Genomic DNA, 22809 nt, shown 5'->3' with positions numbered 1-22809 from the left:
AGCACACCCCACCACGCCCGACTATTTTTTGTATTTTTAGTAGAGACAGAGTTTCATCATATTGGCCAGGCTGGTCTTGAACTCCTGACCTCATGATCTGCCCGCCTCGGCCTCCCAAAGTGCTGGGATTACAGGCGTGAGCCACCGCGCCTGGCCAAGATGTTCATAAAATACATATTTTTAGCATACCATAGAACTAGTCTTCTCAGTAATTCAAAGAAAAACAGAATCCTATACTGGATTCTGTTAGGAGGACTGGTTTCTGTTTCTAAGCCTGCTTGTTTTCCCATCTGTAAACAAGGTCCAATGCAAACTGTCTTAGAGATTTGTGTTCTAGTTTTATGTCAGAAAGGAAGGTACTAGATGCTGTCCTTGCATTTCATAAGATTTTCAGTCTTATCTTCCCAAGAGCTGCCTCTGTTTCCTCTGCCCCATTCCATGGATCCAAGGGGAAAAAAAATCTTGCATTATGATAGAGCTAAGTTGTTTTCTTACCTACCCATTAGATGATACCTCAAGATAACTTTCTTGAGTGTAAATGGCTAAGGGTAAATGTAAGTGCTAGGCACTGGGCACTACTGTAACAAGCACTTCACACAGACTGTTCCACCTGATTCTCATGGCAGCCTCAGGAACCAGTACGCTTGCCCTCCCCATTTTGTAGGTGGGACATCTGAAGCTTAGTAAGATGAAATCATTTGCTCAGAGAGTTGCATTTACCAGCTGGCTGTCTCTGCTCGCCACCCATTGTAGGAGCTGCTTTGCCCTCAGACACTCATGCCAGTGTCACCCACATCTTTGCATTACTAAGTCCATAGACACTCTGGCATTTCTCTTCAATGCTGTCTCTGCAGAGGTGTTGCTGTGGAAGACTCTGACCGCAGTCTGTTCTCTGAGGGTCGCCTGTCCCTGGTTCTGTTTGCTTCTCCTCTGGCCTTTCTGCTCCATCCCATTCCTGAGCTCATCTCCTTTTCTAATTCTCAAACATTGCTCCCCATCCCCGACGCTGTCCTTCCCAGTGGTCTCTCTGAGGGGCCGTCACTCCCATGGCTTTAACTGCCACTGAATAGTCTTCTCTTGTCATGAATATCCAGAGTAAACTCAGTTTGCCCAAGACAGGGAACCAGGAATCATTCTTGGTTGTCCTTCTTCCTTATTCCCCAAGTCCAGTTAGAGACCAGGCCATGACTCTCTCCATCTCTTACGATTCTGTGCCCTCTTTCACTCTGCCGCAACTTAGCTCAGACCAACATAAGTTCTAACTTAGATTATTCAGTGGTCTTATGTTCTGCTTGATTCTCTTCATTAATTTGAAAGTATACTGAAGCATTATACTAAGCACAGGTGCTGTATTCAACACTACTGTCTTAGTCCGTTTTCTGTTACTTGTAACAGAATGCCTGAAACTAGCTAATTTATAAAGAAAAGAAATGCATTCTTTCAGTTCTGGAAACTGAGAAGTCCAAAGTCGGAGCCCCACTTCTGGTGAGGACCTTCTTGCTGGTTGGGAGTCTCTGTGGAGTCCCAAGGCAGTGCAGGGCATCACATGGTAAGGGGGGTGAGCATACTAGCTCAAGTCTCTCTTCCTCTTCTTAAAAAGCCACTAGAGCCATTCCCTTGATAACCCATAAATCTATGAGTGGATTAATCCATTTATGAGGGCAGAGACCTCATGACCCAATCACCTTTTAAAGGCCCTCCCTCTCAATACTGTCACATTGGGGATTAAATTTCAAATGAGTTTTGGAGGAGACAAGTAACTCAAACCGTAGCAACTACCTATGGGCCCTGCTTCAGAGAGCCTGTCACTTGATGGGGAAGATGGACACTTAATGATAAAATAGTAACCACTGTAAGTGTTTGCTATTATTATTTTCCTGGGGCTGTTTCATGGGCTCTTTGTATATGAACTTGCATAATTTTCACAATAGCCCTATGATGTAGGTATTTTTTAATTCTACCCACTTTTCAGAGGAGGAAACTGAGGCACAGGGGTTAAGCAACTTCCTCAAGGCTCTACAGCTTCTGAGTACAGAGCTGAGATTCAGAGCCAGGCTGTCGGGCTCCAGAGACCATGTTCTTTCCCATTCTACACTGTCTCTGTGCTCCATGCTGTGCTGCCTTTGCAGATGTAATGAAAGGTCAGTGTCTGTTGTGCAGAGGAAAGTAAAGGAGCTCTGGGTGTGTGTAGTAACCAAGAACCATGAAAGTATATAGGAGAGGGCTAATAGAGATGAGAATTTAAGGAATTCTTTTCTGAGATGGGAGATTTTTCATTTGGAACTTGAGGCTGAAAATAAATAAGCTGAGCCATGCATGTGGGAGAAGTGCTGTTCCAGGCAGACAGATCAGCATGTGCAAAGTCCCTGAGGTGAGAGCAGGAAAGAAGGAAGATCAGTGTGGCTGTAGGGTGAAGAAGGTGGGGGTCAGGCAGAAGAGAGCTGGGCTGGGATTGGAGACACTACCGTGAAGTCTGAGAGAAACTAAGGTTAGATTCATCTCCTTCCCATACATTCTTCTTGCTGCTGTGTGCTCCAAACCAAAAATCTGATTACCACTCCCCTCCTTGCTTCTGTTCCAAGAAGTAATTTTCTCTACATACAGAGAAGGCTTATAAGATTGGCACTATGTCCTGGGAAAGTGCACAGTGAGGTTGAGAAGCAGAAGTGGGGATTCTGAGTGGTGGTGTTTTAATTTGTTTGTTCTCTTATTAATGGTGAACTTGATGTCTCTGCTTTTATGTGAAAGAACTCAGAGTAGGTCAGCAGTTTTGCCTTTTTTTGAATGGAGCCCAAATGGATCACTTTCTGTTGAATTCTATTCTACAGTAAATATTTATATATAAATTTGAGTGAATTTATTAGCAGCTCACATAGTTTTTGCTTTTGTTTTTGTTTTTTGTTTTTTGTTTTGAGACAGAATCTCGCTCTGTTGCCCAGGCTGGAGCGCAGTGGCACGATCTCGGCTCACTGCAAACTCTGCCTCCCGGCTTCATGCCATTCTTCTGCCTCAGCCTCCCAAGTAGCTGGGACTACAGGCGCCTGCCACCACACCTGGCTAATTTTTTTGTATTTTTAGTACAGACGGGGTTTCACCGTGTTAGCCAGGATGGTCTTGATCTCCTGACCTCGTGATCCGCCCACCTCAGCCTCCCAAAGTGCTGGGATTACAGGCGTGAGCCACCGTGCCTGGCCCAGCTCACATGTTTTTAAATGTATAGCTTTATATCAGGGAATGTTTTGCCTTACATATGTACTTCTGAATGAATGCGGTGTGATTTGTTTCTGATATTTACCATTTTGTTTTAACAATAGACAAAACATTTATTGTTTGAACTTCTTTTCACACTGCCATTTTGTTTGGAAATTATTCTCCGGTAAGGTGTGTTTAACATTTGAATTCTGTTTTATTCCTCAGCTCAGAAAAATGCTCAGTATGTCCTGGTGTTTGATGCATTTGTCATTGTGATTTGCTTGGCATCTCTTATTCTGTGTACAAGATCCATTGTTCTTGCTCTAAGGTTACGGAAGGTAAGAGTGTGTTCGCATTCTCTTCCTGCCCTCTTGGCCTGCGCCCTCAGTTTGCCCAAGCAGTGGACCACCGATATTGTGCACCTGCCTTTTTTGGAGACCTTTGACTAAATCAGATTCCTTTGAGTAGTTGCCCGCTATGAGGCATTCATCAGCCTGAGGTGTAGGAAGTGAGTAAAGGCTCTGAGTATGTCAAGTGGGATCAGATAATTATCCTGCTTAAAACTGAGCTGATATGTACAGATGCACAGTGGTGAACTCTCAGGCTTTTGAATGTTTCCAGAATAACAAATCCCTCTTCAATTCAGGAGTGATCTGAAGAACAGAGTAATAGCATGTGTGGGTTTCATCTTTTGTCTTCAAATCAGAGTTCATTTTGACAGGGAGGCATGGTAAATGGATTATAATGAAGCATAAAATACTTTATTCTGTTTTTAAAATAGTTTTAAAATTCTCCCCTGAGTTTCATTTTGCCTTTTTACCCTCAGGGCTCTTATGAATATATACTTCCGCTCCCCACATATCTTATTCTGGCTGTGGCGTGTGTACAAATGCACACTGGGGTCAGGGGAAATTGGAAGTCCACAGAGTACCATTTGTGGAGCAGGGACGTAGTCTGCATTTGATTTTGCCTAATCCTGACCTTTGTCAATGTCCTTTGTAAATATCCACCTTTCTTACATGCTCCCCAATCCCCTTGATATTCTGAATGCAAAGTTAAGGTCCTTTCCCTGCCAAGGTGAGGGGGCTCATATTTGGAGCACGCACTCTGGAGCCGGCCTGCCTGGACACGGATCCTGGCTTAGCCTCTCGGTGCCTCAGTTCCCTTCTCTGGGTGATAGACCTGCTCGTACCTGCTTCATTGGGTTGTTATCGGAATGGATGTGTTGGTAATATGAAAAGTATTTGGAATGTACTGTGTGTTAGCTATGACAAGAACCTGCTGGAGTTACCGCGTACGTATTTCATATTTGAGGTAACTTCACAGACAATTGAATGCTTACTCAGATTATAGGGGAAAGTGTGTGCCGTAACCTCCACTTTCGAGGTGGATCTGGCAAATTGGAAAGGCAATGCCATGTCCTTTTACAGGTGAGAGCACTGTTTTGCACTTGCCTTCTTCTTCCAGAGGGCAGTGTGGTTTGTAAGAAACGCTTCTTTAAATGTTTGCCATAGAGATTTCTAAATTTCTTCCTGGAGAAGTACAAGCGGCCTGTGTGTGACACCGACCAGTGGGAGTTCATCAACGGCTGGTATGTCCTGGTGATTATCAGCGACCTAATGACAATCATTGGCTCCATATTAAAAATGGAAATCAAAGCAAAGGTGAGGGAAGCCCATTTAAAGTCTCTGTTCTTCATCTTCTCCTGGATGGCCACAGGCATCTTAAGACGTACCATCCTTTGGAGACCACTTTGATTCTCGTGTCTTCCCTTTTCTCACACCAGCACAAGTGAGGCCTCCCCTGGCTTGGTTCCTCGTGAAGGGAAAGGAAGCCGATGTTCCATGGAACGAAACTTGGCAACAGCTCCAGAATAGTGACTAAGCTTGAAAAGATTGGTTATTTGGGCCTCATTTTTCTTTTTAAGTTGCCAAAGGAGCAGCTTATCCATAAACCAGTCCCTTCCCTGAACCTGCATGTCAAGAGCTTGTGGGGAGGATCTGTGACCATTGGGTGCTCCGACGGATGGGGTGAGGGCAGGAATGTCAGACTGCCCGCTAAAGCCTGACCCTTTGTATAACTTAGTTGATTTGATCTCCTAACTAAGCCTCAACTCCTCCTTCACCGCACTATTCTCCCGTCCATTCTCTGCTGTTGGTCAGAGGTCCCTCCAGCCACACCTCCTAACCCTGACATGCCTAATTCTCTCCCATCCCGGCTCCCTCTGGCTTTCTTCAGGCTTCTTCCTTTCTGGCCAACTGTGACAGCAGCCTCCTCACCAGCTTTCCCGTCTTCTACTTCATACCCCTGAGATCCATTCACACAGCTGTCAGAGGGACTTTTCTGGAAGTGTCTATCCAGCTGTTACCATCCTTTCTACCTCTTGGGGCCTACTTTGGGATGAAGTGGCCTCCCTCAGCAGCATGGCCCCTGGGGTCATCATCATCCAGCTCTGCCTCTTGCTCCTGCCCCTGCTCTGACCCTGCCCCTCTAGGACGTCTTGTCAGCATTGTGCCTTTGTTCAGCTTTTGTCCACTTACCTGTGGTGCTTCCTCCCAGCCTGTCCTGCAGGCCTGTCTTTGCTCTGGGGTCGTGTCTGTGGTGTCCCTCTGTGATGAGCTAGGCATTGTGTCTTTCACTGCATTTAGCGTATTATATGAGAATCATGTTTGTGTGTTTGTCTTTTCAACTAGCCCTAGAATTTCCTCAGAGCTGCAGCTGTGTTAGGAAATCATGCTGGAGTTTTCTTTCAAAAGCAGCTGAATTGTATTGTTTGGTACTTAACAAACACCATTAATTTGTATCCTCGAATGCCTAGGTCAGTGATAAATGCAATTTCTATTTGAGAGTATTATTTGGAAAAAAATTTAGTTCAACCTAAATACAATTTCTATTTCAGAGTATTATTTGGAAAAAAATTTAGTTCAACCAATTGAAATACTAAAAGAAAATGAGAAACACAAATATTTGGAATTATATCTGTTTTTCTTCTTTTTTTTCTTCAAAAAAAAACTCTATCACCTATAGGGAGGCAGATAGTTCTTTTTTTATTAATTGGTTTAATGTAAGGCTAATAAGCTAAGTGGAGTCAAATATTTTACTCATTTCTCTCTTTCTTTTTTTTCATTCCTTAGAATCTCACAAACTATGATCTCTGCAGCATTTTTCTTGGAACCTCTACGCTCTTGGTTTGGGTTGGAGTCATCAGATACCTGGGTTATTTCCAGGCATATAATGTAAGGATGCGGCACCGGGTAGTGCCACTGCAGTTGAGACTCATTTATTCTTTGGGTTCTAATAGCTACTTTTTCATTTCACCCATTCTGTTCTTTTTTTCAGGTGCTGATTTTAACAATGCAGGCCTCACTGCCAAAAGTTCTTCGGTTTTGTGCTTGTGCTGGTATGATTTATCTGGGTTACACATTCTGTGGCTGGATTGTCTTAGGACCATACCATGACAAGGTGTGTAGCTCACATTCTTCCTTCTGCAGATGGGGCACGTGGGACCCTTGAACGTGGGTTTCTAGCACTTACTTGCTTCCTGGTCTTCTCTAGCATGTACCCTTGACATCAGTAATCACATATCTTTGTATCAGTTTTCTTTTTCTTTTTTTCCTTTTCAGGATATAGAAGTGACTACAGGATATTGAAACAAGAACTGTACAATACTAGAAAGCATGTATTATAGTTGTCTGGGACTGGCTTAAGGGGTCACATGGTTACCCGGTGATCATCAAATGGGAAATGTTTGGACGTGAGATCACTATATTAAAAATGAAAATTAAGTGAGGAAAATTATTATAAAAAATTTCCAATTTAAAGTATTATGTTTTTCATCCAAGTTAATTGAGAAGAATGAAGATGGGCAGAGACTGCCTAAAACGACCATAGTAGGTTTACGATAGAAATGGTGACACGTCTTGTCTCTGCAGACGGTTTTGATTACAGCATCATCTTTCTGCCTTATTAAAGATCAGTATCTGAATTCTAAACTATTACCAAACTTCAGTTAGCATTATAATCTCAGGGACATCAAAGTTGTGCTAAGATGTTCTTGTTATAAAATGATACATTTGATTGGTAGATGCATCAGGAAATGAAACTAGGTAAGCCTTGGTTTTAACCCAAAAAAGTAAAAGGAGTTATTTTATCTTATGGCTTTTCCTCCATTTGGGCCTGTGGCAGTTGGAACAACAGAAACAACAAAAATAGCAGCAGCTAACACTTACTGCTTGTGTGTTAGACACTCTGCTGGGCATTTCGGTGTTCTTTCTTATTTACTCCCCACAACAACCCAGGGTACTGTTAGCCTCACTTAGGTGCTCTGCAAGGAGAAAAGAGGTTAAAAATGGTAAGTATTCCTTCCAAGTTTGTATACCAGTTCAGCCTTAAGTTTTGACCTTGTTAGTTGCATTAACCAAATCTGTGATCAAATCTGGTTTACAAACTGTTATACATGAATCTTAAACCTCCGTGCTGTCCTACCAGAATAATGTCGAGTAACCTGGAACACTCAGACTTTCTTCTTTTTAGGTGTCACATTTAATATGTCTAGAGAGAATTACTGTTTTTCCTATTTGAGATATTATATAATTAACAAAGTGACAACCTCTGGGTTGGTAGTAAATCTTGATAATATTGCTCTTCATACTCCATGTCACTGCTTTAAAGGTGACTCATGAGAAAAAATTATTCTTTGATATGATCTCTCTGATTTGGAGAACTTACTGTCTTAGAGCCTGGAAAAATGTATTTTTCTTCCTTGCTTGCCTCATGCTCTGAAAGCTTTTCCACCTCTTTGTCACTAGAGGGCAGTGTTGCACTGTGTGGAATAAATACCGTTCCTGAGGATTCGGCTTTAATTCACTGACTCCAAGGTCTGTGGACAAGTGGTCCCATCTCCTTTGCACCCCATCCCCGTCTCCCCTACCTCATCATTATTCTGGAAGGTGCTCAGATAAGATTGCTAGAATTTTACTAGATGGCTACCATTCTCAAGTGCTGTCTGTTAGGCATGGTGCCCAAGATTCTTCATCTCCCTTGCTGTGTTAACCCTTCCCTCCCCTTCTCTGTGAAGAAATCTGATTGTCCTGTTACAGAGAATAGGCACCTTAATATATTAAATAATATTCCTGAGATTACCCAGCTAGAAAGTGGCAGAGATGGGATTCAAACCCAGGTCGGCCTGACTCCAGTACCTGTGCTTTGACCCATACCCTGTAGAGCTTTTCTTGGTATTATCTAAAACAGATCATTGCAAGAGAGCATTTAGCCTGACAAGAAACAGTCTTGTACTTGGAGATCAACTGTGAGAGGACAGCCATGTAATCGGCTTCATTCTTTCAATGGTGTCAAGGTCACCTCATGGAAAATGAGGTTATTTGTTTTGTGAGCCTGACTGCATTTCCATATGTTCAATTTGTCCTTTCAAAGGATCCAGGTGAAACTGGGATGCTCTGAGCCAGCACTGTCCAAGAAAAATACAGTTTGGGCTACAATTGAGAGCCTTGCCTATACTGTAAAATTTTCTAGTAGCTACATGAAGAAATAAAAAAACAGATGAAATTATTTTTAATTATATATTTTAAGCCTAATATACCCAAAATATTATTTCAGCATGTATTCAGTATAAAATATTGAAATATTTTACATTCCTCCATACTAGTCTTTTTGATCTGGTGGATATTTTATCCACATAGCACGTCTCAATTTGGACTAGCTATCTATTGGATGCTGGCTATTCACACATTCCTGGTGACTACCACTATGGACATTGCAGCTCTAGACTTATGTCTTTCACTTAATGTTAGCTTTCCTTTATACCCCTGGAGGAGGGGAGGGATAAGGGATGTCTGTAGGGTTGCCTGCAGGTCTGTTTATGGCATCTCTCACCAGGCTGATATATTGGGGAAATACACAGCTGAGTTAATTCACTGAATGTACAAGTCAGTTGGGGGAGAGAACGTCAGTCTGGTTTTGGAACTTTGTGCTTTTCTTCACCATATTGCTGCCTCTTTGAATCTGAAGTTAGAATATTTTATTGCCCCTTGCATCCTTTCCCCCAAATTAATCCAAGCTGTCAGCATGTTCAGGTTCTGCCAGTATCTGAATCAGAGGACTTTCAGGTTACCTGAAGCCTTGAAAAGCTAGGCATTCCAAGCGGGCATTTTTGTGGGATTTTTAGAATCACAGCAACCTTGATTGTGAAAGCTAATTCTTTCTTTAAAACAAAACAACTAAAAAGGAGACATTAGGAAAACCGTTTGACTGATAGCTGGGGTCCCATAACACTTCAGCTTCCTATCTTCCTGTTAGGCATCTGATTTCAGGGGCTCAATGGAAAGGGAGTCAAGATGCAAAAGGCTTCCTGCTGATGTGTATTCCCAGCACTAATGGACTTTGGCACAGTGCCCTTTCAAAATGCCTGGGCACAGAGGGTGAGAGACTGTTGATGTTCTTCCAGACCTCATCTTGAATTATTAAACATTACTCTAATGCGGCTTTTACATTTCCAGAGGACTTTTTTTCCTGTGAGGAATAAATCATAGCCTTGCATTGTCCCCATTTTACAAATGAGAAGACCAAGACTTGAAAAGTTGTTGGACTTCACTGATGCCATGGGTCAAAGTTCAGCAGACTCTGCATTACATTTTCCTCCTTCCAAGCCCTCTGGTTTTAGCCAAGTACCCCTCAGCTAAAACATTTTGCCTAAAGTTTGCATGAGATTCTTGGCACCAGCTCTTAAAGCAAATATTTATGTTGTTCTCTGACATAAGCCATTGCAGGTTATGGTTTCATTGAAATTAAAGGTTTTTGGCCCAACTGCAAACTTATCATTTGTGAAATGAATGGTTGAGTTCTCATCGTGGGCCCAGAGAACCTATGGGGACTCTTTATGGAAATACCCATTTAATACGTATTAAATATCTACTGTGCACCCAACATTGCTAGGTTCTTGTAGACCAAGTTCTTGGAGGGAAGGAACTGTAGTTTGTTCCTCTTTACATTCCCAGTGTCCAGCACAGCACATAGACCATGGTAGGTGCCCAAAAAGTTTGTTTTGAACAAACAAGAAGCAGAGAGAGAGTAGTACCTGCTTTCCAGGGGCTTATGATCACTCAAGATCCAAAGGAATGCCTTACAAATGTGGTCCTTCTAGACTGGAAGCACATTAGGACCTTGAGTATTTTTAAGCTCACTTCTACTATGGAATTTGGCCACTGAAATAGACTCTGGTTCACAGCCACTTCTTGTACAAAATGGCAGGGTGTTACCAAACACCTAAAATTGACTGGGTCTCTGTTTTAACTCTTTGGTGTGTTAAAATAATTCTCATGTTCACAAGAGGAGGGGGAGGTAAAATGGTTATGAATAATGTTAATGTTGAGACAGATATTGTGTGTAGCCTGGTAAGTAACTAAACAGAAAATTAAAAAATGAATGTGACATGTACTGACAAACTAGCTATTTGCAGTTGAAACCTGAAGCACAGACAGTTGTGCTTGGAGTTAGGGGTTCTTGAAACTAGAGAAAGGAGTTGACTGGATTCCAAAAGAAACTAAGAAATGTGAATTATTAATGGTGCTGTCAGAGTTGTAGTTGACATCCATAGAAACCAACTTTAATGTCAATGTTTTCAGCTTTAACTTCAATGTTTTAAGGCTTGTGTAGCGTATGGAAAATATTTACTCTGGCAATCGCCTGTTTTACTGTTAAATAATCTACATATTGTTAAGTGATCTGTTCATTTGGATATTTCCTCTAGGTCTTTTTGGAGGAGGACTTTAGTTCATCAGAGTTTTTGCTGATGCAGCAAAGCCATGGGTGGGATCCTTGTTTGGGGTGCGTTTGTAGACCTTCTCCCTTGGCCACCAACTTTACCTTGCCTGGTCCAGCCACGTGGCTGGTAGTGTAAGGCACGGTGTTTGTATCTAGTTGGAGTACAGGGAAGTGTGTATAAAAACAATTAGAAGACCATAGTTCATTCTGTGATTCTTACCGATACGGAGTGCAGAGAAAGGACTAGAACTACCAGGGCACTTGGTCTTGAAGTACACTCTGAAATGACCCTTGAACATTGGCTTAATTGGACACAGAGAAGAGAAAGAAGAATAGAGCAGGTGAGGAGAATAAATTCCATGAGGGAAAAATGTAGGGATGGGCCTGGTGTTGGAGGAGAAGATAAGCACAGCATATTAATACTGTCAAGGAGGAGATGTGATGAGGCTGCATAAAGGAGGAACTTATCACAACCTTCTTGGTTTAGATTTTTATTTTGCATCCAAACTTTGTATAATCTCACAAGGGAGAAATGACCTGAAAGCCTTCTTCTTAAAGTACAGGTTTTACTGCAGCTTTGACTGGGGAGGGTAAAGAGATTGGAGTAAAAGAGACTTCCTTGGAAGTTTCTTTAATAATTCAGAAATTTGTGTTGACATCACAGTAGAGTAGTAAGGGTGGATTGGAGAAACATGTGATAGGAACAGACAGGCCTTAGAAGACTGAAAGCGGGGAAGAGTAATCAATTCAACACAGAGTTTTAAGGACTTAATTATTTCAGAGTAAATGTTTCTTTGGTAGGAGATTGGAATCACTGACAGAAATAGGGCAATTTAGAAAAAAAAGTTCATTTTTCTGGTTAGGGTGGTGAAAAGTTTTGTTTTGTTGGCATTTTCAAGGAATGGTCTGTTATATAACAAATGCCAGCTGAGCACAGTGGCTCATGCCTGTAATCCAAGCACTTTGGGAGGCTGAGGTGGGCGGATCACCTGAGGCCAGGAGTTCGAGACCAGCCTGGCCAACATGGTGAAACCCCATCTCTACAAAAAAATACAAAAATTAGCCGGGCTTGGTGGCAGGCACCTGTAATCCCATCTATTTGGGAGGCCGACACATGAGAATCGCTTGAACACTGGAGGCAGAGGTTGCAGTGAGCTGGGATTGCACTGCACTCCAGCCTGGGTGGCAGAGTAAGACTCTGTCTCAAACAAACAAACAAAACCTACAAATGCTCTCTAAGTGTAGAAAACATAAGAAGATGCTTATGTTAATTAGGAGAAAAACCAGGATCTAAACTTGTTAGATCCTGGTTTTAGATATATAAAAAGTACATAGGGAAAAACTGTGGGAATTGTTAAGAGATTAACTTTGAGAGTATGGAGGGGTGTGTGTGTGTGTGTGTGTGTGTTTTAAAGAGACAGGGTCTCGCTGTGTCCCCCAGGCTGCAGTGCAGTGGCAGAAGCTTGGCTCACTGTACCCTGAACCTCCTGGATGCAAGAGATTCTCCCACCCCAGCCTCCTGAATAGCTGGGACTACAGGCATATCACCATGCCCAGATAATTTTTGTACTTTTTGTAGAGATGGGGTCTTGTAATCTTTCCCAGGCTGGTCTCAAACTCCTGGGCTCAAGTGATCCTCCAACCTTGGCCTCCCAAAGTGCTGGGATTGTAGGGATGAGCCACTGTGCCTGGCCCAGAGGGGGTTTTTGAATAATGTTTTCCTACTTCTTATGGTGTTCTAGCATCTTAAAATAAGTAAGTTACCACTACTACAATGACAAAAACAATGTTAACAAAACAAGCTAACTAGATATCCTCTGCTTTTTAGAATACTCTATTTCAGAAACTAGTTTTTATTTCCCCCTACAGTTTGAAAATCTGAACACAGTTGCTGAGTGTCTGTTTTCTCTGGTCAACGGTGATGACATGTTTGCAACCTTTGCCCAAATCCAGCAGAAGAGCATCTTGGTGTGGCTGTTCAGTCGTCTGTATTTATATTCCTTCATCAGCCTTTTTATATATATGATTCTCAGTCTTTTTATTGCACTTATTACAGATTCTTATGACACCATTAAGGTAAGTAATTATCAAAATTTGCTGCCAAAAAATCACTGCAAATTCTATATAGATTATAGGAAAATACCACATTTTAAAAACTTAAAATATTACAGTTCAGATTTTGAGGTTTTGTGGACAAACTTTTTAGACGCTGGAGATGAATTTTAGGGCATTGTCCCTGTTACCCACAGCAGGGTGGATTGGTTTGGAGGGGTGGTGGGAAAGAAAAGGGAAATGGGGTAAGCATGGGTTGAATGGGGTAAGTCAGGTAGTCAGGCTGCTGGTCTTAGCCCTGACAGATATACCTGCCAGTGTGGCTGCCTGGAACTTAGGATTGAGTCATAAGTTTCAGGGATGAGAGGTGACCGGCACCCTGACAACTCTCAGATATTGCTACAACTCACACTGGATAATACAGCTACTGGCATGGTGCAGGCTTCCTTTAAATTATGAAAACTAAGGCTTTTGTGACTGTTTAGCTTCCTGCTTTCTTAAGCTACCTGATGGGTTCTGTATCCTTTCAGACTAGGCCATTTAACTGATTTGTGGCTTGAAGGAATTTCACTTCCTTGGGTGCTGGTACCTTATTCACAGCAGATGGTCATGCTTAGAAAACCCTGCTTCAGGGTCAGTGACTGAAAAACCAGGGGTGCCATGCCAGTGCCTTTGTCAGGGCTGTTTTCTGCTTAACCACTTTCTCAGAATAATGCAGAAGAAACCCAGTCCGCTACCTTTTGAGTGTGTGGGAAGATAAGTAAGTGTTCAGGTGGGAATGGTAGTTGCCTCTCGCATCAGGGTTTGCATGGAGAAGGAAGAGGTGCACACTCCTGCCACAGAGATTCATGTCTTTGATGTGGCAATGTCTCTGCGTGGTGGGGGCCAAGCCTCAGTGTTGAAGTAGGTTATCTCATTAAGCATGAGGGGAGGGAGTCTTTGTGTCTGCTTGGAAAAAAATCTCTCTTCTGTTCCACTAAGCGACCAACTTCCATAAAAGTAGAGGAAATAATGATTACTTTCCAAGCAGAGTCTACATTGCCAATGTGTGTGTGGAGTGGGAGGTCTCATCTAGTCTTGCTGTTAGCATTAAAAGTTTAGACTTTTTTTTTTTTTAAAAAAAGAGAGAGGGTCTTGCTCTGTTTCCCAGGCTGGAGGACAGTGGTATAATCCTACCTCATTATAGCCTCCAACTCCAGGGCTCAGTCGATCCTCCTGCCTCAGCCTCCAGAGTAGCTGGGACTACAGGTGCACACCACCATGGCCAGAAAATTTTTGTATTTTTTGTAGAGATGGGGTCTCACCATCTTGCCCAGGCCAGTCTCAAACTCCTGGGCTCAAGCGATCCTCCCTTCTTGGCCTCCCAAAGTGCTGGGATTACAGGCATGAGCCATCATACCCAGACTAGACATTTGACTTTTGATTATTTCCTTCATTACCTTTTTTTTTTTTAAAAAAAACCTCTCCCTGGCTCTTCTCTGCTTTCTTTCTGAAGTTTTTCTTTGGATTGTTCTCTGTTCCCACAGTGGCCCTGCCTTGGTGTTCTGGGACTGACAGATTGATTCATCATTGTAAATATCAGTTCTTGGATCTGAGCTAGCAATGTGGGAGAGTTTTATTTTAGCAAAGGTGGGCTTGGTTTGTTGACAAAAGAGCAATTTCTCATGCCTTATAAATAAGGTAACAACATTGTGTACTTTCTAAAGAAATTCCAACAGAATGGGTTTCCTGAAACGGATTTGCAGGAATTCCTGAAGGAATGCAGTAGCAAAGAAGAGTATCAGAAAGAGTCCTCAGCCTTCCTGTCCTGCATCTGCTGTCGGAGGAGGTCAGTATCATGTTTATTCTCCATGCTCCTGAGATGGGCTGTTCTGTTGTCTTAAGAAAGAGCCCCTCCAAGATTACCATTACATTCAGAGACCAGCTTATCATGGGAAATAATTCACCTTTCTTTTCTTTCCTCCCACTGAAATTGGCTTTAGAAATGAATTATTTCTTCTAAAACAGGGTTATGTAGAAAGCTACACGATGTGATTGGAATCTCTTAGAAATACTATAAGACTCTTAAGAGAAGGCATAAATTATGTCCTTAAAGTCAAGAGGCTGAACTCTTAAGTGGCCCAAGTAAGAGGTCAAAGCTCTTATTTTTAGAGGTGAAACTCTGGGAGTGTCAGAGGTGTTTTCCCTTTTCACAGTATGTGGTACAAGCAATCTTTCTTGATGAGAGCAGGAAACTTCCTTGCGAAGAGGCTGTCCAAGTGCTTGCTTATCCGTGCACACCAGTAGCTCTTCCTTGCCTAGCTGTGCTTTGCCTGTTGTTCGTCAGGACATGTAGAGAAATGGTCTAGACCTCAGTGGACAAAGCATATTACATAGTGATTTGTGGACTAGAATGGGGTCAGGTGAAGACAATTTTTTTTTTAATGTGCCTATGTTTGCTTTCATCTGAAGTCAGGGGTGCCAGTTTGTAACTAAAAGTATACCCTACATATGTTTTTTCTTTTTGGAAGGACTCTGTAACCCAAATTCCTGAAGGAAGCTATGAGAACATAATTGCTATTTAAAACCACAGGATGCATTTTTCTGTTAATCAATTCATACAGCATCTTGGGACTTACAATGATATGACTGAGCAGATCCAGAGAATGTCTGGTAAATAGAAAATGAGATCTGAGAAGAGTTGTTTTCAGAATCACACCTTTTTTTCTCAGAGCATTAAATTGTTGCTGTGAAAGCTGGGATAAAGGAAATTAATTTTCTTAATAGGCAGCTGCCTCCTAAGAGGTACCTTGTATAAGGAAAGTCTCTCAAAATCTCTTTTTTACTATAAGGGGGATAAACTTCATTGAAAAATGTAGTCATGAATTCTAAAAAGTAAACGATAGGTCTTTGGTGTTTGGACCTTGGTTTGTGCCACACAAAGTCCTGGGAGGTTGTTAAATGTTTTGTCATGCAGCCCTATGGAACAAGTGAAAGATTTAAGGCGTGGACCCCAAGACGTTTGGGTAAGATTGGGTCTGAGTGGTGAGACGCAAGGAGCAACAGCAGCAGACCATTTGCCCTAAAGTGTGCTGAGGGTTGTTGAGAAGATGCATGGTGAGACGGAGGGTCTGCCCCTCATGAAGAGTGAAAGAATTTGAGGGAACAAGAGAGCCCACCAAGGAGATCAACTGAAGAACTAGGATGATGAAAGTTTTGAAAAAGAGGATATCAAAAAACAAAGACAGGTAGCTGTAACTATGTTTGGCCAAACGATGGTCCTGAGTGAAGTCAGCTATAGCAATTTCAGTGGAATCATCAGACCAAAGCCTAGATCCCAGGGGGCTTGCATGGACCCTGCAGAGTGAATGAAGGGCCTAGGCTGTGATGGAAGGAAATGGATTGTAATGGGGCCTTGAGAACAAGTGATGGCTTTGACTCCATCTAAAATTAAGTATAGCTTGATGTGTTTAAAAGCTAGGAATGGGGCTGGTTATGGTGGCTCGTGCCTGTAATCCCAGCACTTTGGGAGGCCAGGGCAGAAGGATTGCTTGAGCCCAGGATTTTGAGATCAGCGTGGGCAATGTAGTGAGACCCCGCCTCTTAAAAAATAAAATAAAAGCTAGGGACAGAAGAATGGACTAAAATTGAGGAAGGCTGTGAATGGAGGCTAAAGATGAACATAAAGATTCATCTCTGCAAAGATTGGTTTTTGTGCCCCCTGTCTGGTGACCATGACAGATGACACCTGCTATCCCAGTGCTGCTTCCTGCAGAGCACGGCTGTGGTCACTCTTCAACAAAGCAGTCCAACAACCAGCACACATTTGATTCTCCTTTGAGTTTTTGACAGAGCCTCTAGCCTGAGCATCAGAACACCTGGGTTTTCATTTTGGACACTGCCATTAACCAAGTGTGTCCTGTGACCTCTCCTAAACCTCTTAGATGGACCAGATGACCTCTGAAACCTCTTCCAGTTCTAAAGCGATGTGGTTCTTTGGAGAGAGATGCTTGGTTGAACAGATGCAGAGTTAACCTTTACCTTCCTCTATTGCAGTGAAGGAGGAAAATTGGCTGTTCTAGTAATTTATAAGGCCTTGTTAGCGAAGGGACACAGAGATTCTTTTTTTTTTTCCAGAAACAAACCAATGTATTTATTGAGTAAAACCTAAATGTAACATATATTTTTCTTTTTTTTTTTTTAATTTTACTTTAAATTCTGGGATACATGTGCTGAACGTGCAGGTTACATAGGTACACATGCGCCATGGTGGTTTGCTGCACCTATCAACGCATCATCTAGGTTCAGCTCTGCATGCATTAAGTATTTGTCCTAATGCTCTCCCTCCCCTTTCCCCCTACCCCCCAACATTTCCCCGTGTGCGATGTTCCCCTCCCTGGGGGCATGGAGGTTCTTAAGAGACAGGTGACTCCTCACAGTGTTTCCAAAAGCATCTGCTCAAACCTCAAACAGTGTACATTGCCTTTATTTATTTATTTACTTATTTTTTCTGAATGTTGGTAAATAATCAGAATACCTTGCCTGTCTTAATTTTTCTTCCTCTTCTATGTTTCACTCAACATGTCTATAATCTACGGGCCTAGAATATAGAGTATTCCTATTGCTCCTCAAAGATGTTAAAGTATTGTATCTTTCCTCTTTTCTTCTTTCCCTTTCTGTTACAGGAAAAGAAGTGATGATCACTTGATACCTATTAGCTAAAGTTCTGCTAAAGATGATTAAAGTTCAGGCATCCTTATCCAGCGGCTGAGCAGAGGAACCCCAAATGACTTGGACAAGCAGTTCCAAAATGACTCTCTTATTTAATTGTGGAGTGGGAAAGAGGACTCACAGTTAGCCAGCTGACCATGACTGAAGTTCCAGCTTTACTTTTTATAAACTTGAATGATAAAGAATAGACCATGGGCTACTACTGGGCATTAGTGCAATATAACAGCGATAATAAAATTCTCTATTAGTCTGTTAATTTATGACATGATCTCGGAATGGAAAAAGATCATTTCAGAGTGTGCGAAATAATAGTCTTTAACCATGTAATTAAATATGTGTGTTTATTGTCAAATAAGGATTTGTTTTAAAGGTGATTCTTGGGTTTGAAGACATTTGTTAATTCATGGTCTGTACAGAAATGAAGCTGGTTGCAATACCAATCTAGAGAGTCCAAGCTGGTGAACTATTAAGCTGTTTAAAGATCACCCTTGGCCTGGCACAGTGGTTCACACCTGTAATCCCAGCACTTTGGGAGGCCTAGGCAGGCAGACTGAGCTCAGGAGCTTGAGACCAGCCTGGGCAACATGGCAAAAACCCACCTCTACAAAAAGTACAAAAATTAGTCGGGCGTGATGGCAGGCATCTGTAGTCCCAGCTACTTGGGAAGCTGAAGTGGGAGGATCACCTGAGCTCTGGAGGTGGAGGCTGCCATGAGCCATGATCGTGCCACTACACTCCAGCCTGGGTGACAGAGTGAGATCCTGTCTCAAAAAAAAAAAAAAATCACCCTTAAATCAACAAAAAGACCTCATGCTCATGCAGTGGACATTTCTTGGCCTGTTTTCCTGTGGGTTTTCTTCAGCATGATATGAAGCAACTGTTGGCATAGCCAGTGGGATAAATAAGAAATGGAATCATTTGGCTGCCTCGTCACTTGTGCTAATGGTCAGTTGTACACACATGACATGTGGAAGTGACCTGTAGCAGCGGTCACTCATTTTAACAATTGAACTCTGCTGGGTTGGGTATTTACCTTTGTCTAGAAAAGAAATATGATATATTTTCTCTAAATAAATTTATTTTCATCATTCCATATGGCATTCTTACTATTTTATGCATTGTCTCTAAACAACTACCTAATGAAACATTCAGATCACATCTCTCTTAACCACTTGGTCTCCAAAAGGGATTTCCCAATTTCTTAAAAGCAGTGAAGGATATACAGGGGCTAAGATATAGAAGTTATTCAATAAATATTTATGATGATAGCTTGAGAGATGAAGATCACTTCATGCATAGACTTATTTCATACCTGAGCTATCTCAGTGGCCAACTATTTAAAGTTATTGGTGAAGAGGAGAATTTGAATTAAGCAGGACCCTCCTTCCAGGGCTCTTCCTCTTTCTCCTTGGCCTCAGTCGCCCTCCCCACAAGCCCCTACCCAATTTTCCTTCTCATGTCACCTTCCCCCTCCTTGCTCTGACCCCATCTTCATATGCCTGCACCAACTATAGGCAGGGAAAATCATGCAGTTAATACCATTAAAGTATATAAGAGAGTAGATGACTCATGTCTACACACAGAGTACTTTGCTAAAATTATTTTAAACTTTCTTTTTTACAAGATATGTGAAGAGTTATGTTTGATTTTTAAACTAAGACACCATTAAACTGGTGGTTCTGGGGTCATTTGCCTGACCCAAGAATCAGATACGTAATTGGACCACTTGTTAACTTCTGAGTATATTGTCATATACTTAGTTTTGTCTCTGAAAAGAACTGCTATTTTTTTTCTTTCTCTCTTTTTTTTTTTTTTTAAACAGAGTCTTGCCCTGTTGCCAGGCTAGAGTGCAGTGTCATGATCTTGGCTCACTGCATCCTTTGCCCCCCAGGTTCAAGCGAGTCCCCTGCCTCAGCCTCCTGAGTAGCTGGGACTACAGACATGCACCGCCACACCTGGCTAATTTTTTGTATTTTTTTAGTAGAGATAGGGTTTCACCATATTGGCCAGGATGGTCTTGATCTCCTGACCTCGTGTACGCCCGCCTTGGCCTGCCAAAGTGTTGGGATTATAGGCGTGAGCCACCACGCCCAACCCAAGAATTGCTATTAACATGGTGAAACCCTGTATCTACTAAAAATACAAAAATTAGCTGGGTGTGGTGGCAGGCGCCTGTAGTCCCAGATACTCAGGAGGCTGAGGCAGGAGAATCGCTTGAATCCGGGAGGCGGAGGTTGCAGCGAGCCAAGATCCGGCCACTGCACTCTAGTCTGGGTGACAAAGTGAGACTCCATCTCAAAAAAAAAAAAAAAAAAAAGCTTTCATTTGTTCTGCAGCTGTGACTGCCATTTGAATAGAAGATTAATGATGGGTTTTCATGCTCATATTATTCTTCTATTGGCTTTCATGTTTTCTTTTATTTATTTTCCCTCCAGCTGGACAAAACAGTTTTAGAAAGAAAAATGTTTTTCAGGGTTAGCTCACATCTATAGAAACATTGTTTTCTCCCTTTTTAATAATGTTAAACAATTGTCACTTTATCAACTGTATTGTTATTTGGATTTTATTGAACAATGTTGTCTCATAATTCTGCTAATAGATGCATCTGGGATAAATCATTTTCTCTCTTATCATAGGCCTCCACTTAGAGGGTTCCCTGTGAAAGTTAGGAGACACATTCTTTCTGCCTGCTGGTTTCATTCTGGGATCTCCAACCCTTGAATTTAACTCCTTGGCTTGTGGTGACACAGTCAAAACCATATACAACATCTTAAAGCTTTTTCACTTGAGCTGGTAGGAGAGAGTGTGGGCATAAGAGCCATCTAGACAGACTTGAGTTAAAATTCCAGCTTAACCTAACTTTAAGGCCCTGAACAAGTTACTTTCTTCCTCTAAGTGATGATAAACCTCAACCAAGACTGGCACTTAAGTCACATAATTTATGCAGAGCCTGGTATTGAATTCATTCCTGAGCTGTTATTTCCCTTTGATTCTCTAACATGTTTGCAATAGTTTCCATGGGACCATGGAATAATGCAGACACGACTTTGCTTCTGCAACCTGTCTGCCTCAGCTGTCCTCTTCCTACTGCTACCTGAGTCTCCTTGGACAGGTCATGCCATGCATAGATTTCCTCATCCATAAAATGGGATTATGAGGATTGAATGAGTCAAACGTAAAGTGCATAGAATAGGGCGTGACTCCTAAGTGCTCAATGACTATTAGCTCTTCAAAAAACATGTCTTACTAACATGGTCTACAAATGTACAAATCTGTTCATCTGGGCCAGCCAGGAAGATTTTTATTTTATAATGCACTCACCACACACTTCTGGTGGACTTTGTTCTAGTTAGAACTTTAAGTGTGCAAAAGTCCCCCATCCAGTCCTGTCCTGGAGGCAATGATCAGTTCAGCCCTAAGAAGCTCACACCTAGCCATAGAGGAGCAGCAAGGAGAAGCAGCCTAAATGGCTGGGGCACAGCTGTCAGTCCTGATGGAAGAGAAAAGGTCCAGGAGGTGCACAAGCTGTCACAAAGCCTCAGTCCTTCACCCTGGGTGAGACCCTCAGTCCTCTACTAGGACTACCCCCTTAACCAAACTTGTCAGAATGTATAAAATTCAGGCCCACTTCCTTCTCAACCCATTGCTGACTCAAAGTGGTGAATGCAAAAGAGTGAGAGAGGGTAGTTAGGAAAAGCTCTTCGTGCGATTCGAGGCACTGTCCCCCACTCCTGCTGAGGACCTACACTCCAACAATTGTAAAAAGGGTACACTGATCCAGTGGAAGACCACGCTTGGAATCATGGGTTTATGAAAAGCACAATAGCCCAGCCTTTTGATCTAGGGGTAGCCAGTCGCCCTCTTGTCCCTGTGGACCTTCATGTAAAAATGGCCCAGCACTGGCCGGGTGTGGTGGCTCACGCCTGTAATCCCAGCACTTTGGGAGGCCGAGGCGCATGGATCACAAGGTCAGGAGATCGAGACTATCCTGGCTAACACAGTGAAACCCCGTCTCTACTAAAAATACAAAAAAATTAGCCGGGCGTGGTGGTGGGCACCTGTAGTCCCAGCTACTCGGGAGGCTGAAGCAGGAGAATGGTGTGAACCCAGGAGGCGGAGCTTGCAGTGAGCCGAGATCGTGCCACTACACTCCAGCCTGGGTGACAGAGCAAGACTCCATCTCAAAAAAAAAAAAAAAAAAAAAAAAAAAAAATATATATATATATATATATATATACACACACACACATATGTATATATAGCCCAGCACTGTATTGATGTTCAGGGGCCTTTCTAAAGTCATTGGAAACGTATATTCAATAAACTGCCACCATGGTCTTGGCCACAGAGTTGTTTCTTGACAATATCAAGAGCTGTGATGCTTACAGGTACGATTCCAGATACCTGAACAATTCACTTGTGACAGCCACATATTGCAGTAACATTAGACGAATAGACCTCATTTTACTGCTAATCAGCTCCATTTTTATTTTCTTGTAACTTGGGCAAATTTTATTTTTGCTTTGCTTCACTTGAAGTTTGAACATTTTAACCATGTAGTCCCTCCTTGTTCACAGAGAATATGTTTCAGGACCCCCAGTACAGGCCTGAAACCCTAAACAGTACTGAATCCCATACAGGTTGAGCAACCCTAATTCGAAAATCCAAAAGCTGAAATGCTCCAAAATCTGAAACTTTTGCTGACATGACTCCACAAGTGGAAAGCTTCACAGCTGACCTCATGTGATGGGTCACAGTCAAAACTTTGTTTCATACACAAAATTATTTAAAATATTGTATGAAATTACCTTTAAGCTATGTATATAAGGTATATATGAAACATAAATGAATTTCATGTTTAGACTGGGATCCCACCCCCAAGATATCTCATTATGTATATGTTAATATTCCAAAAGCTGAAAAAATCCAAAAGCTGAAACACTTCTGTTCCCAAGCATTTTGGATAAGGGATACTCAACCTTTATATATTATGTTTTTTCCTATACATACATACCTATGATAAAGTGTAATTTATAAATTAGGCACAGTAAGAGATTAACAACAATAACAAAAAAT

At 42.0% G+C, this 22809-nt stretch overlaps 1 protein-coding gene across 8 annotated transcripts in view; it reads left to right on the top strand.

Annotated features, from left to right (window-relative positions):
• MCOLN2 (mucolipin TRP cation channel 2) overlaps positions 1-18826 on the top strand; it is a 71531-nt gene extending 52705 nt beyond the window's left edge. For 5 of the 8 annotated variants that reach the window (XM_005270719.4, NM_153259.4, NM_001330647.2 and 2 more), the window contains 7 exons: positions 3418-3530; positions 4707-4856; positions 6327-6428; positions 6532-6654; positions 12841-13047; positions 14730-14851; positions 17688-18826. In XM_005270719.4, coding sequence (XP_005270776.1) covers positions 3418-3530; positions 4707-4856; positions 6327-6428; positions 6532-6654; positions 12841-13047; positions 14730-14851; positions 17688-17724 — 854 coding nt within the window. In that variant the 3' untranslated portion in view covers positions 17725-18826. Of the gene's footprint in view, positions 1-3417; positions 3531-4706; positions 4857-6326; positions 6429-6531; positions 8044-12840; positions 13048-14729; positions 14852-17687 lie in introns of those variants that run through there. The other 3 variants (XM_047416964.1, XM_047416962.1, XM_047416968.1) reach the window with 3 other exon arrangements.
• The last annotated feature ends 3983 nt before the right edge of the window (positions 18827-22809 follow it).

Source organism: Homo sapiens, chromosome 1 (assembly GCF_000001405.40).
Source record: "Homo sapiens chromosome 1, GRCh38.p14 Primary Assembly".
NCBI classification, from domain to species: domain Eukaryota; kingdom Metazoa; phylum Chordata; class Mammalia; order Primates; family Hominidae; genus Homo; species Homo sapiens.
This window is presented reverse-complemented; position numbering and strand designations above follow the sequence as displayed.